General features: G+C 58.8%; 1 protein-coding gene across 9 annotated transcripts in view, besides 4 other annotated features; it reads left to right on the plus strand.

Moving 5' to 3' along the window:
• Nucleotides 1,201-1,359: a silencer, noted in NCBI's record as "fragment chr16:89679650-89679808 (GRCh37/hg19 assembly coordinates)". NCBI's record gives its function as "represses an EF-1alpha promoter that drives an FKBP-Casp9 reporter gene in an ReSE screen in HepG2 liver carcinoma cells {active_cell/tissue: HepG2}" and the evidence as "EXISTENCE:reporter gene assay evidence [ECO:0000049][PMID:32094911]".
• DPEP1 (dipeptidase 1) overlaps nt 1,267-13,981 on the plus strand; it is a 28,233-nt gene continuing 15,518 nt past the window's right edge. For 2 of the 9 annotated variants that reach the window (NM_001389470.1, NM_001389466.1), the window contains exon 1: nt 1,601-1,678. The gene's annotated coding sequence lies outside the window, so the exon portion shown is untranslated. Of the gene's footprint in view, nt 1,364-1,600; nt 1,679-4,843; nt 4,874-8,002; nt 8,197-8,555; nt 8,736-10,213; nt 10,387-13,981 lie in introns of those variants that run through there. The other 7 variants (XM_047433691.1, XM_047433690.1, NM_001389471.1 and 4 more) reach the window with 5 other exon arrangements.
• Nucleotides 2,765-3,469: an enhancer, noted in NCBI's record as "H3K4me1 hESC enhancer chr16:89681214-89681918 (GRCh37/hg19 assembly coordinates)". NCBI's record gives its function as "activates a minimal SCP1, AML or CMV promoter by ChIP-STARR-seq in naive and primed H9 embryonic stem cells {active_cell/tissue: H9 hESC(naive and primed)}" and the evidence as "EXISTENCE:reporter gene assay evidence [ECO:0000049][PMID:30033119]".
• Nucleotides 3,470-4,172: an enhancer, noted in NCBI's record as "H3K4me1 hESC enhancer chr16:89681919-89682621 (GRCh37/hg19 assembly coordinates)". NCBI's record gives its function as "activates a minimal SCP1, AML or CMV promoter by ChIP-STARR-seq in primed H9 embryonic stem cells {active_cell/tissue: H9 hESC(primed)}" and the evidence as "EXISTENCE:reporter gene assay evidence [ECO:0000049][PMID:30033119]".
• Nucleotides 11,451-12,323: an enhancer, noted in NCBI's record as "H3K4me1 hESC enhancer chr16:89689900-89690772 (GRCh37/hg19 assembly coordinates)". NCBI's record gives its function as "activates a minimal SCP1, AML or CMV promoter by ChIP-STARR-seq in primed H9 embryonic stem cells {active_cell/tissue: H9 hESC(primed)}" and the evidence as "EXISTENCE:reporter gene assay evidence [ECO:0000049][PMID:30033119]".

Genomic DNA, 13,981 nt, shown 5'->3' on the forward strand with positions numbered 1-13,981 from the left:
AAATACAAAAAATTAGCCGGGCGTGGTGGCGGGCGCCTGTAGTCCCAGCTACTCGGGAGGCTGAGGCAGGAGAATGGCGTGAAGCCAGGAGGTGGAGGTTGCAGCGAGCTGAGATCGCGCCACTGCACTCCAGCCTGGGCGACAGAGCAAGACTCTGTCTCAAAAAAAAAAAAAAAAAAGTCATTGCCCCAAATAGAAACCCATTCCCATTAGCACCCACTCCCCACTTTCCTTCACAGCCTCAACAACCATGAATCCACCTTCTGTGTCTATGGAGTCACTTATTCTGGACATTTCATATAAGTGGAATCACACGACATGTGGTCTTTTGAGTCTAGCTTCTTTCTTTCTTTTCTGAGACAGGCTCCCACTCTGCGGCCCAGGCTGAAGTGCAATGGCGTGATCGCAGCTCACTGTAACCTCAGTCTCCCAGGCTCAGGCGCTCCTCCTGCCTCAGCCTCACAGCAGAGACCACAGGTGCGCACCACCACACCCGACTATCTGGCTTCTGCCACTTAGCGAAATGTTTCTGAGGTTCTTCATGTTATAGCACGTGTCAGCACGTCACTCTTCTTCATGGCTGAGTAATACTCCACTGCGTGAAGAGACACATTTATCTGTCCCCGTGTTGGGCATCTGCACTCTTCCCACATTTTGGCTATACTAAATTGTCCTGCTACGAACACCTGTGTAGTTTCTGTGTAAAGGTACAGTACCTATATGTTGGGGTGATCAGACCCAACCCCAGGTCGTGGGGGTGACAAAGTCCGGCGGAGTCAAAGGATTCAGAAAAACACAGAGAGAGAAAGGTGGCACACCAGGGGGCCATCGCTATTGTGGAGGCTGCAAAAGCCCGAGCTCTGGGAGCCCACGGTATTTATTGGTAATGCAACAAAGAAACAGATGGTGAGAATATGGAGGTCAAAAGACCACGTTGCATTAAGCACATGATTACAGCTGTGCCGGTTTAGCATTTATATGGAGCATGTTCTGCTACTTGAGATAATGGGAATAGGGGCCTAGGAGGGCTAGAAGGAAGGAGCCAGCAAGTCTAGACACATTCCAAAGGACATCATGCAAGCCCTGCCTCAGTTTCCCTCCCAACACCTATATGTCTTGTTGGTATACATGTTGTATTTTCACAACGAAAATGCATGAGAAAAAGGACACAGATGGCTTATGTGTACTGATGTGTAGCATTCTCTAAGATCTGACATCACAGAGCTGGACAGCACAGCTGTGCACGCACCCCCCTGGCTGGGAGGTGGCACATCCACACATGAGGGAAAAACACTGCCAGGACATCTCAGGGCACTCTCAGGAAATGAGGAAGCTGCTGGAGAAGTTTCTAGCCTTGGGGGAGGTCAGGACGCAGAGCCATCTCCTGGAGCAAAGTTCCCTCCTCCTCTCTCCCTCCTCCTCTCTCCCTCCTGCAGCCCTTCCTTCCGACCCCTGGCCCTTTCTCTCCAACCTTCCCCTCCCCTCCTCCATTTCCCTCCTCTTTCTACTTTCAGAGAACACAGGGTTCCTGCAGGAAATGGGGCAGTTTCACCTTCCTGAGGAGGGGCCTGGGAGGGGCAGCAGGTGGCCGGGTAGGGCCAGCCCAGCTGTGAGCCTGGCGTGGGAGCTGCCTAGGCCGGGCCCTGCCAGGGAGCAAGTCTGCATCGCAGAGGCCAGGGTGAGTGGGCTGGGGAGTCGGTGCGCCAGGGTACTGGGGTGCCCACCTGGGGTGGTGCAGGCCCGGGGACCCCAGGGCACCACTGTGGGTGGAAGCTGGGACCAGGCGTGCGGGGCAGGGGACGCGGCGGCTTCCTGGGATTCTAGGAGGCTGAGGCCAGGTGTGTGCGGCAGGGGACGGGGCGGCTTCCTGGGATTCTAGGAGGCTGGGACCAGGTGTGTGGGGCAGGGGACGAGGCAGCTTCCTGGGATTCTAGGAGGCTGGCACCAGGTGTGTGGGGCAGGGGACGCGGCTGCTTCCTGGGATTCTAGGAAACTGGGGCCAGGTGTGTGGGGCAGGGGACGCGGCTGCTTCCTGGGATTCTAGGAAACTGGGGCCAGGTGTGTGGGGCAGGGGACGCGGCGGCTTCCTGGGACTCAAGGAGGTGGGAGAGCTGCTCTCAGACCCGCCGCTGTCCTCCCACTGGCCCTCCCCGTGGTCCCTAGGATGAGGTCTGGACCCGCCAGGCCCTCCAGAGGCCCCACAACCCCGCTTGTCCACTGTGCCGGCTGTTCCTTCCTTGTGGCGCCCAGTGCGGTCCTAGGCACCCTTGGGACTCAGCTCACGTACCCCTTCCTCCAGGAAGAGTTCTCAGAGGCTGTGTGAGGAGCGCCGAGTCCCCGGACTTACTCTCTGTTCTGGAATTCTCTGCGCAGTCATCTGCCTTCCCGCCCAGCTAAGAGCAGGGCCTGTTGTCCGGCCCCACAATTTCCTTCCAGGTGGAAAGGATTTGCTGAATGAAAATCAAAGCTGTGGCCGGGCGCGGTGGCTCACGCCTGTAATCCCCACACTGTGGGAGGCCGAGGTGGGCAGATCATGAGGTCAGGAGATCGAGACCATCCTGGCTAACACGGTGAAACCCCGTCTCTAATAAAAAATACAAAAAATTAGCCGGGCGTGGTGGCGGGCGCCTGTAGTCCCAGCTACTCGGGAGGCTGAAGCAGGAGAATGGCGTGAACCCGGGAGGCGGAGGTTGCGGTGAGCTGAGATCGTGCCACTGCACTCCAGCCTGAGTGACAGAGCGAGACTCCGTATCCAAAAAAATAAAAGAAAAATCTTCTCCCCGGGTAGGGTGCGGGGAGCTTCAGGGTTATCACAGGACATGCTAGAGAGAAAGCCTTGGGCACAGGCGGAAGTTGGAGTCTGGAGCTGCGGCTGGGCTAGCGAAGGGCAGAACCTACTTCGGCCAATGGCTCTTACACAGCCAAGCTATTTTCATGGTGAGGGTCTAGTAGCCTCCACATCTCTTGGCGAATTCTTGCTGATTGGCGTCTGACCCCATGGAGAAGCTCAGTGGGTGTCATGGGTGGAAGGGGGCATCTAGGGCCTCCAAACGTGGAAGTGTCTCTAAAATACCTCCCGCTGGGCCTCAGTCTCCTTGTCGACAAAAGGTCAGCTTTGACAAATCTCCAGTCGGAGGCCAGGAGCAGACGGGGAGGGTCCCTCAGTCCCTGCTTGCAGCTTCAGGGGGACGTAGGCTGCGGTGGACGGACACTGAGCCCCAAAGCGGCCTCTCAGAGCCGCCCCTGAGGGGTGGCCTCACAGGTCGGGCTGAGGCTCCCAGCTCCCACTGGGTACAGAGCGGGCAGGCGGGCCTGGCAGGGCAGTGGTGCTGGTCTACACGCAGCTCTGGAGTCTCTGGACCTGTGTCCTGTGCGTACATCCTGGCTCCATCTCCCATGAGCCAGGGGGCTGGACCTGTCTTCTCTACCTCAGTTTCCAAGAGTAGGAGACAGGGGTAACAGCAGCCTTGCTCTCAGGGGTGAGGGCGTGGGTTAAAGGGCAGGACACCCATGGAAGCAGTGGTGGCTCCGAGCACCTGCTCAGCCTTCCCAGGTCTTCAGAGCCCACAGGCAGAGCCCACCCTGAGGGAGGAGCAGCTGGTTCTTGGGTGAAGTGAGCCCCCAGGACCCCGCCTTGCAGGACCCCGCGAGGCCCCGGTGAACTGGAGCCGGGAACCGGCCCCACGGAGGCACGTTGGGATTTGGCCACCAGAGGGCAGGAGCTGCAGCAGCCAGGCAGGCGGTCAACACGGGGGCCCCGGGGTCCTGGCCGGCTGGTGGGGTGTGAATTGGAGAGGAGTGGGCTGTGTGGAGGGAGACCAAGCACCAAGGCCCGCCCTGGCCTCTGAGTGTCCACCCCTTTCACAGGCCCATTTCACAGATACTGAGGCCCAAAGGCGCAGGGCTCAGGCGTCCCCTACGTGTCGTGTCCCCAGGCAGGAGAATTACTTGAACCTGGGAGGCAGAGGTTTCAGTGAGCTGAGATCACACCACTGCACTCCAGCCTGGGTGACAGAGCAAGACTTCATCTCAAAAAAAAAACACAAAAAGTGAATTTAAAATGCTCCCTGAACTCCAGCTGGGGTGCGCAGCAGGAGGCTGGGTCCGTGGGGCTTCGGGGGCTGGGCTGGGGGTTCAGGTGGGTGGGGGAGTCAGTGCTGTGGGGATAGGGCTCAGAGCCCAGAAACAGACAAGCCCACACAGGTAGCCAGTGTCGACGAAACAGGAGAGGCTGGGACCTGTGCCCTGGAAGGACACAGCCAGCGGGTCCTGGGTCACCCACTCCGGGGCTGACCGGGCACAGTTTCACAGAGCAGTATGGCCCAGCCAGCTGTGAGAGGATCGGACAGACGGGCGGAAAGGAGGGGAGACAGCGGGTGTGCTCGGGGCTGTGCCGGGAGGGGTCCTTGGATGGAGGAGGGGGTCGCCAGGAGGCATCTGCATCCCCGGGGTGGTGAAGACCCAGCGTGTATGGCCGACCTCGAGGACAGGGCGATTGCTCCACCAGAATGTTCCCAGATGGCACAGATGCTTCTGGTTCTGGCACTGGGACCTGCAGCAGGATTCCCGGGTGGCTTAAAGAGGTTCCTTGAAGTTTGTGATCAGGAATTCAAAGTAGCGCAGATTGGGACGGCTGGGCCTTCTCCCCTCAGCACACTCCGCGAAGGGCAGTGCAAACGCACGCTGGCAGGAAGTGGCTGGGAAGCAGGCAGAGAGCGACCAGGAAGCGGCCAGGAAGCAGGCAGGAAGTGGGCAGGAAGCAGGCAGAAAGCGGCCAGGAAGTGGCCAGGAAGCGGACAGGAAGTGGCCAGGAAGCAGGCAGGAAGTGGGCAGGAAGCGGCCGGGAAGCAGGCAGAGAGCGGCCAGGAAGCGGGTAGGAAGCGGGCAGGTTTTACCGAGCGGCGTGACGGCTCCAGAGGGGATGATGGAGTCTGGCAGAGAATGGGGCGGGAGGCTGGAGGTCCTGGGCAGGCCCTGGAGCAGAAGGGGAAGGGAGGGGTGGGGTGATGGGACTGCAGTGAAGGTCTGGCCCCACCCGAGCAAGGTGAGGGTAGCACAGGTCATTACATGTCAGGGAATTGCTTGGCCAGGGTTGGGGACAATTCTCTCTTATTAGAATTGCCAGGAATCAAGACAGGGTGGAGCTAGAACAAGGGAGAGGGAGTGGCAGAGAGATGGGGTGCTTGGGGCTCTCATGTGATGCCCTGAGGACACTGCATGAAGACTCACGGCTGAGCTGGGTGGAGGTGGGAGAGGTAGGCAGGCACCAAGGCCCAGGGCCCTGAGAGGTGAGGGGAAAAGCGCTCCTGCCTCACGAGGCCACAGGAGCTCCCTCAGCACGGTGCCTGCATGGAAGAATTGCTCAGCTAACATGAGCTCTGAGGCTTGCGCACATGTTACAGAGAATGAGGTGGAAGCATCCACGCCAGGAGGTCTCCAGGCCATCTGGTCAACAGAAAGCCAACAACATGCAAAGGACAGGAGCCCACACCTGTGCCGGTCTGTGCCAGAAATGCTGGAAGGCGGCCGGGCGCGGCGGCTCACACCTGTAATCCCAGCACTTTGGGAGGCCGGGCGCGGCGGCTCACACCTGTAATCCCAGCACTTTGGGAGGCCGGGCGCGGCGGCTCACACCTGTAATCCCAGCACTTTGGGAGGTTGGGCACGGTGGCTCACACCTGTAATCCCAGCACTTTGGGAGGCCGGGCGCAGTGGCTCACACCTGTAATCCCAGCGCTGTGGGAGGCCAAGACGGGCAGATCATTTGAGGTCAGGAGTTTGAGACTAGCCTGGCCAACATGGTGAAACCCCATCTCTACTAAAAATACAAAAATTAGCTGTGTGTGGTGGCATGCACCTGTAATCCCAGCTACTCGGGAGGCTGAGGCACAAGAATCACTTGAACCTGGGAGACGGAGGTTGCAGTGAGCTGAGATTGTGCCCCTGCACTCCATCCTGGGCGACAGAGCGAGACTCAGTCTCAAAAAATATAAAAAAATAAAAATAAAAAATCATCATTCTAAGTCAAGAAAAATTAAAATTTTAAATTATTAGCATGTATTTACCATTTATCTTCATATTGTGTAATACTTGGCTTAAATGCAAATAGAATAGGATTTAACTCATACAGAATCAACAAAATTGTACAATTCACATTTTTATTTTAATTAATTTATTAGTTTGTTTATCCATCTTGACAAGGTCTTGCTCTGTCACCCGGGCTGGAGTGCAGTGGTAGGATCACGGCTCACTGTAGCTTAAACCTCCTGGACTCAAGCCATCTTCCTGCCTCGGTCTGCTATGTAGCCAAGACCACAAGTGTGTGCCACCACGCTTGGCTAATTTTTATATTTTTTGTAGAGATGGGGGTCTCCCTATGTTTCCCAGGCTGGTCTCAAACTCCTGGCCTCAAGCGATCCTCCCGCCTTGGCCACCCAAAGTGCTGGGATCACAGGCATAAACCACCAGGTCTGGCCTACATTATTTATTTATGCATTTAGTTTTGAGACAGGGTCTCACTATGTTGCCCAGGTGGGAGTGCAGCCTCAAGCTCCGAGGCTCAACAACCTTCCCACCTCAGCTTCCCAAGTAACTGTGACTGCAGGCACACACCAGCCTGGCTAGTTTCTTTATGTCTGTAGAGACGAGGTCTCCTTGTGTTGCCCCGGCTGGTCTCAGACTCCTGAGCTTAAGTGATTGCTGCACTGTTCCCCGGGCAAAGTTGCACAATTCGCATTTTGTAACTTATAGATTAATATTTATTTTATTTTCACCAGAACGGTAGGAACCCTGCACAAAACTGGTTTTATTTTGCTCTTTACGTACGCACATCCCACCAGCACCCTCTACCTTTGGCTTCCGGAGGGTTGCCCTCCCTGCTCCCTCCCTGCAGCTCCCTGCCCCCCTGCTCCCCTCCCTGCAGCCCCCCTGCCCCCCCGCTCCCCTCCCTGCAGCCCCCTGCCCCCCCCGCTCCCCTCCCTGCAGCTCCCTGCCCCCCTGCTCCCCTCCCTGCAGCCCCCTGCCCCCCCTGCTCCCCTCCCTGCAGCTCCCTGCCCCCCTGCTCCCCTCCCTGCAGCTCCCTGCCCCCCCTGCTCCCCTCCCTGCAGCCCCCTGCCCCCCCGCTCCCCTCCCTGCAGCTCCCTGCCCCCCCGCTCCCCTCCCTGCAGCCCCCCTGCCCTCCCTGCTCCCTCCCTGCAGCCCCCTGCCCCCCCACTCCCCTCCCTGCAGCTCCCTGCCCCCCCGCTCCCCTCCCTGCAGCCCCCTGCCCCCCCGCTCCCCTCCCTGCAGCTCCCTGCCCCCCCGCTCCCCTCCCTGCAGCCCCCTGCCCCCCCTGCTCCCCTCCCTGCAGCCCCCTGCCCCCCCTGCTCCCCTCCCTGCAGCCCCCTGCCCCCCTGCTCCCCTCCCTGCAGCCCCCTGCCCCCCTGCTCCCCTCCCTGCAGCCCCCTGCCCCCCTGCTCCCCTCCCTGCAGCTCCCTGCCCCCCTGCTCCCCTCTCTGCAGCCCGCTTTCCCCCTGCTCCCCCCGCTCCCCTCCCTGCAGCCCCCTGGTCCCCCTGCTCCCCCCGCTCCCCTCCCTGCAGCCCCCTGCTCCCTCTGCTCCCCTCCCTGTAGCTCCCTGCAGCCCCCTGCTCCCCTCCCTGCACCCCTTTTGCCCCCTGCTCCCCTCCCTGCAGCCCCCTGCACTCCCTTCACCCCCTCCCTGCAGCCTGCTGTGCCCCCTGCTCCCCTCCCTGCAGCCCCCTGCACCCCCTCCCTGCAGCGCCCTGTGCCCCCCACTCCCCTCTCTGCAGCCCCCTGCGTCCCCTCCCCTCTCTGCAGCCCCCACTGTTCCTCCCACTGCTGCCCATCATTGGCTGCTTGAAAATGTCAGACTCCAAGGGCCCCTGTGACTAGCCCAGCAGCAGCCCTAGGTCTCCACCCTGCCTTGGGTGGGGTCCGGGATAGGCCTGGCCTCCCCCCGCCTGCTTGAACCCACTGAGTATGCCCCCCTCCCGCCGCAACCTCAGAATTCCAAAGCCAGCCTGGTCTCCAGCTCAGTGCGGTCCACACGCAGACCCTCCTTGGATTTCGAAAGCCCGTGTGGCTTTGCCAGAGGACATTCCAATCCTCGATTGTGGCTGGGGATGGAGGGAGATCAACCCATCGCACTTACAGATAAAGAAACTGAGGACGGAGTTTGTCCCAACTCCGGGGCCAGGGTCAGTGTCCTCCGAGGGAGTCAGGGAGGTGGCTGGGGTCTGCCAGTGGGGGGGACACACGACCTGGGACCCCCAGGCCACTTGAGACTCTCTGGGCTCGTTGGGCTGGGCCCAAGCTCCCAGGCCCCCTCCTCTCCATTTCTCAACCTGCTGCCACCTAAGGCAGATACCCTACACTACTGCCTGGGGGGCCTCAAAGGGTGATCACCCAGCACAAGCTCTCCTGCCTGGCCTGGGACCGAGAGTCCCAGAAGCCCCTGGGCTGGCCGGATGCTCAAGGCCTCACTGAGGGCATGCGTATCTTCGGAAACAAGAACCAGCTGACATGTGTGAGGCTTTAGCCCGGCTCTCCCTGGGGTACTGTGCGAGCCCTCAAGGAGGTGGCTGTTCTGTAGCTGGAGAGCTCCGTGGGTGGCAGGACTGAACTTGAACACCAGAAACAACCCCCAAGCCTTGTGACCTGGGAGGCAGGAGGCGGGTCTGTCTCCCTGGGACTTGGGTGGCTGAGCCGAGGTACTCGGGACCCTGTCCCGCGCATGGTGAGTCTCGGGGAGCGGGGAGCCGGGAGCCAGGGGTTGTGGTTTTGGGGAGCGTGCAGCCAGGTTGAGGCCCAGGGCTGTAATGAGGGCGGAAAGCCCCTCTCCTCTCTGACTGCCTGTGATCCACCGTCAGCGAGGGAGAACCTCAGAGAGTAGGCATCTACAGCATAGCATGGAGCACCATCACAGGCAGTGAAGGGCGAGAGTCTCAGAGGATGGAACCGGGTGGGGGGCCTCAGCTCGTGCCATCACGGGCAGTGAAGGGTGAGGCTCTCAGAGGATGGAACCGGCGGGGGCCTCAGCTCCAGGCAGGGGTGAGAGGGTGGCTTCTGGGGTGACTGTGTCTGGAGGATGGGGTAGCAAGGGTGGGGAGGCCAGGCTGAGGGGCCCTGACCTCATGGGAGCTGGGAGCCTGTTGGGAAGTCCCTGAGAAGTGCTTCACTGGGATTCACTGGGAGGAAGAGCTCGCGCCCTGGTGCAGATGTGGGCTGTGGGGGATCAGAGTGGTGGGGGCAACCGTGGGGGGCCTGGGCAGGGTGAGGAGGGATGTGGGGAAGCCACCAGCCTCAGGGTGGGCTGGACGCTGGGAGGGAGGCGTTGGGGGCAGAAGTGGGGTGCCGGCCTTACGGCTGGGCCTGCAGATTGAGGGGCCTGTGGACTCCCCCAGTGCAGACATCAGCCTGGTCAGGAGCCAGAAGAGAGAGTCCGGGGCTGCTGAGCCTGCTGTGAGCCACCGGGGCCTCCCACGGAGAGAGACAGGGCCGGGCTCCCCGTGGAGCTGCAGGCTCCCGATGTTCCCTTCTCAAGGCTTATTTGGGGGCCTCTGTGCCAGGCCCCATGGGTGGTCAGATGGGCCCCACGCTGAGTGTGGGCTCCCGTCCCTCGCACATGCAAGGAAGGGCTCAGGTGAGCAGGTGCGCGTGTGCGGCTCACCTGTGCATGCACGTGTGTCTGTGTGCACGTGGAGGTATCTGAGTGTGCGTTTACTCATCCCGTGGGAAAGTCTGCACATGTCTGTTCTAGGTACGCGGACGTATCTGACCGTGTGGGCTTGCGATGCGCCCAGGTGTTCTCGTCTGCGATGATCTGTGTGTGGGGGGCGTGGGTAGGTCCGCATTGCCTGTGGCTGCCTGTGCAGAAGTGGTATCATCCGAAATGGCCACGGTGGCGTCTGCATGTTGGCTGTGGATGGGGCTTCTGTGTGGTTCTGGGAGACAGAGCTGGGTGGAAACACAGACATCACTGTCGAGGCTGTCACCTGCGTCTCGACAGAGCCGAGTCAGCACCACCCTGTGAGGAGAGCGTGTGGGGTGGGGCCTCGGTGCACCCATCTCTGGAGATGGACCCAGGACTCTCATGCAGGAGCCCACACTCTTCACAGAGCACTGCTCCCACCCCGAGGGGTCTCCTAGCAACGCTTCTCTAAACATTAACTTTCGGGGCCAGGACTACTAACCCCAGCTCTCTCCCTAAGCCTCACTATGGCCAGGGGAGGGGAGAGGCAGGAGGGCCTGGGCAGGACAAAGGACCCTGGTCAGTCGGGGACATGAAAGACGCACAACCAGAACCGGTGGAAGAAACAGAATTAAACACACCCTGAACCTTTCCCACCGCAACTCTGCCGGCTGCACCCTCTGGGTCAAGATGTGAGGTAAGGCACAAGCATTTCCTCCTGCTCCTGTCCACGAAGGTGAGAGGAAAGGAATTAGAAAAGAATAACGCACTCGGGCCGGGCGCAGTGGCTCACGCCTGTAATCCCAGCACTTTGGGAGGCCGAGGCGGGTGGATCATGAGGTCAGGGGTTCAAGACCATCCTGGCCAACATGGTGAAACCCTGTCTCTACTAAAAATACAAAAATTAGTCGGGCGTGGTGGCGGGCACCTGTAGTCCCAGCTACTTGGGAGGCTGAGGCAGGAGAATCGCTTGAACCCAGGAGGCGGAGGTTGCAGTGAGCCGAGATCGCGCCATTGCACTCCAGCCTGGGTGACACAGTGAGACTCTGTCTCAAAAAAAAAAAAAACACACTCGTCAGACAATAGAAAGTCTCCGCTGCAGGCAAAGATTCCGACCCATTTCTGGGAAGGAGGAAGTGAATGGAAGAGTGTGTCTGTGAGGAGGACTAGGGGGCCTCACTGGGAACGTTCCAGGGTGTTCCAGCGAGAGACCAGGGAGCCAGAGAGGAGCTCAGCTCAGACGTTGCAGGCACGATGGGCCGGGAGTGAGGAAGACGCTGAGGTCGGGGTTTGTTCCCAATTGGAAGAACTGGCCCCAGGACCACCCAGACAGACACACCACCCTAACCCCCACACAGCCAGAGGAAGGTCAGGAGGCCCTTCCCTAAACATGTTTTTGAGAATCGAGGTAGCTATTTTTAAAAATGCTGCTGGGCGTGGTGGCAGTTGCTTTAAAAGGAGCTGCTGTGGACCCAGCTACTTGGGAGGCTGAGGTGGGAGGATCGCTTGAGCCTGGGAGTTGGAGTCCAGCCTGGGCAGCATAGCAAAACCCCATCTCGTAAAAAAAAAAAAATGCTCATGCCTTCCGGCTTCAAGGGCCCTGGTAACCGGGCATCTCCGGAGCTCGCCCCACACAAAGCCTGGGGTCGAGAGCCCGCTCACACATACGGCACGGCCCACCTTGCTGTTGCTTTATTTTTAAATATGAAATTTGTAGTGACAAAGATTGCCCGCTGCCAAGGGAAGTCTGCAAACCCAACAGAAGGTCCAGATGAACAATGGGAGACGCGTCTGCATTCCGTTTGGTAAACCTCAGAAGAGAACAGAGTGTAGCTGAGTCCAAGCAGATCTGCTTCCCTGACGGGAGCGGGGCGGAAAAGAACACAGCAAACCTTGGAAACCGCCCTCCGGAGACCAGACGCACAACCCCCAAGAAAACACGAAAGAACCGTGCTGGGAGACAAAACAGAGGAAATGGAGTGCACAGGATAAGCAGGAAGAAAGCCAGGACAGGAGGCAGAAAGGAAGCTCAGACAGTGCAACCCCTGCCTGAAACCCTGGCCAGACGGAGCTCAGAAAGGAGGGGAAGAAGAGGGATACGGGCGACTGGAAATTCCCTGGACCGGAGGCAGAGGAAACGCTCCAGGGAGTGAAAAAGCCTCACACTAAAGCACGTGGCTGAGAAGTCGTGGCGCTCCGAGGAAAGAGGCAGCTCCAGGCCTGGAGGGAACAGCGGTTGCCCACACACAGCCGGGCCCATCCACCACACATGCACAGACGGACTGTGGTGCGGTCACCTCCTGAGGGACAAAGGTTTCCCGCCCAAAGTGCACATCCAGAGAAACTACTGATGAGGGCAGAATAAAGACAGACAGGAGGACTGGGGAGTGAATTCCTGCCGACCCGCTGCTAGGGAATGGTTGCAGGGCCAACTCTAATGGAATAGGGTTTAGTCTGCTTTGCATTGCTCCAAAGAAATCCCCGAGGCTGGGTCATCTATAGAGAAAAGGGGTGGGTTTGGCTCATGGTTGTGGAGGCTGAATGGGAAGCGTGGCACCAGCGTCTGCCTTTGGTGAGGACCCCAGGGAACCTCTCATCACGGCAGAAGGGGAGGGAGCAGGTGTCACTGGAAGGATGGCCTGGACCGTAATAGTCCATGTCCTCGGCGTTTGAACAAAGAAGTGGACAAAACGTGCAAAGTAACGAACAAAACACGGAAAGAAAGCAGCGAAAGCAGGGATTTATTAAAGCGAGAAAGGTCGGGAGTGGGGTGAGAGGGGCGCTGTTACATAGTTTTCTGGGGTTTGTTTTTTTTTTGTTTTGAGAGGGAGTCTCACACCGTCGCCCGGGCTGGAGTGCAGTGGCGCCATCTCGGCTCACTGCAACCTCTGCCTCCCAGGTTCAAGCGATTCTCCAGCCTCAGCCTCCGGAGTAGCTGGGATGACAGGCGCCCGCAACCACGCCCGGCTAATTTTTGTGTTTTTAGTTGAGACGGGGTTTTTCTTTGTTGGCCAGGCTGGTCTTGAACTCCCGGCCTCAGGTGATACACCCGCCGCACTCTCCCAAAGTGCTGGGATGACAGGTGTGAGCCACCCCCTCGGCCAGTTTTCTGGGTCTTAAGGGCACCTTTCATGGTTCCTATACCTCTTATCTGGATGAAAGATTTGGTCCGTGGCTAATCAAAGGCTGAGGTAAACTGGTGTCTGCAGATGAAAGGGTGGCCCGCAGCCAGTCCACAGCACTTTCCTTTCCATCTGGGACATGGTGGTGGGGGCTGTACGAGAGCAGCCTTTGATCCTTTGCTACTGGGCGTGGGGCTCTTCCTCAGGGTGTAGTTTTTGGAAGTTGGTGTTAATTGGCCCTGGGTTCCCTGCCCCAGACCTTGAAGTTTTTCCTGGATTCAGCGTGCTTTGGCCTCGGACTCTCTCCCCCTGACCTTGGTGTTTTCTCTTTTAGGAAGTCAGCACAAATTAGCGTCCCATTCCCTGCCCCAGGCCTCGCTGTTTTTCCTTGATTCAGCACGAATTGGCCTAAGTTCCCTGCCCCCAGACCCTATTCTCCTGCTCCCAGGGCATCACGTGCAGAGAGGGAGGCAGAGAGTGAGGGGGGAGGTACCAGGCTCGTTTTAACCGTCAGTTCTCTTCCCAACGAACTCATTACCTCCAGAACTGCACCAAGCCATTGATGAGGGGCCCGTCCCCATGACACAAAACCTCCCAACTGGGATCCAGTTTCCACGTGAGATCTGGACAAACATTCAAACTCTATCAGGACTATAAACCAAACAAAGGTGGAAGACCTTCAGTGCAGGCATTAAGTGAGCACTGACATTCCAGGCTGGGAGTAGCAGGTTGGACGAGGGGAGGCTCTGGGGGCAGGGAGGGAGGTTGCAGAGTCCAGAGCTTGGAAGATGGAAGATAAGGGCACCCAGTGTAGGGCAGGAGAAGAAAGGCAACTGGAAACTCTGGGACAAACTATAAAACCCCACGGAAAAGACAGGTGTAAGGTGACTACCTTGATCCGAGGGTGATCTGAGTGGCTGGTACCTTTGTGCTCACAGCAGGACTGTCGTAAAGTAGGTACATCCATGACTTCTACTTGACAGACGAAGAGACTGAGGCCGAGAAATTGAACCAGCTCACCCACGCTGCCCTTGAACAGTGGTCGTGAGAGGGGAACCCACAGCCTACCAGGACACGGGGCCCTGCCCAACCCCCAGGACGCCCTCGTGTTGAATTAAGTCCGTGGCTTTGAGCCTCAGAAACGGTGCAAAATGCAGTCCACGCGTGGCT

This window comes from Homo sapiens, chromosome 16, assembly GCF_000001405.40.
Source record: "Homo sapiens chromosome 16, GRCh38.p14 Primary Assembly".
Classification (NCBI taxonomy): Eukaryota; Metazoa; Chordata; class Mammalia; order Primates; family Hominidae; genus Homo; species Homo sapiens.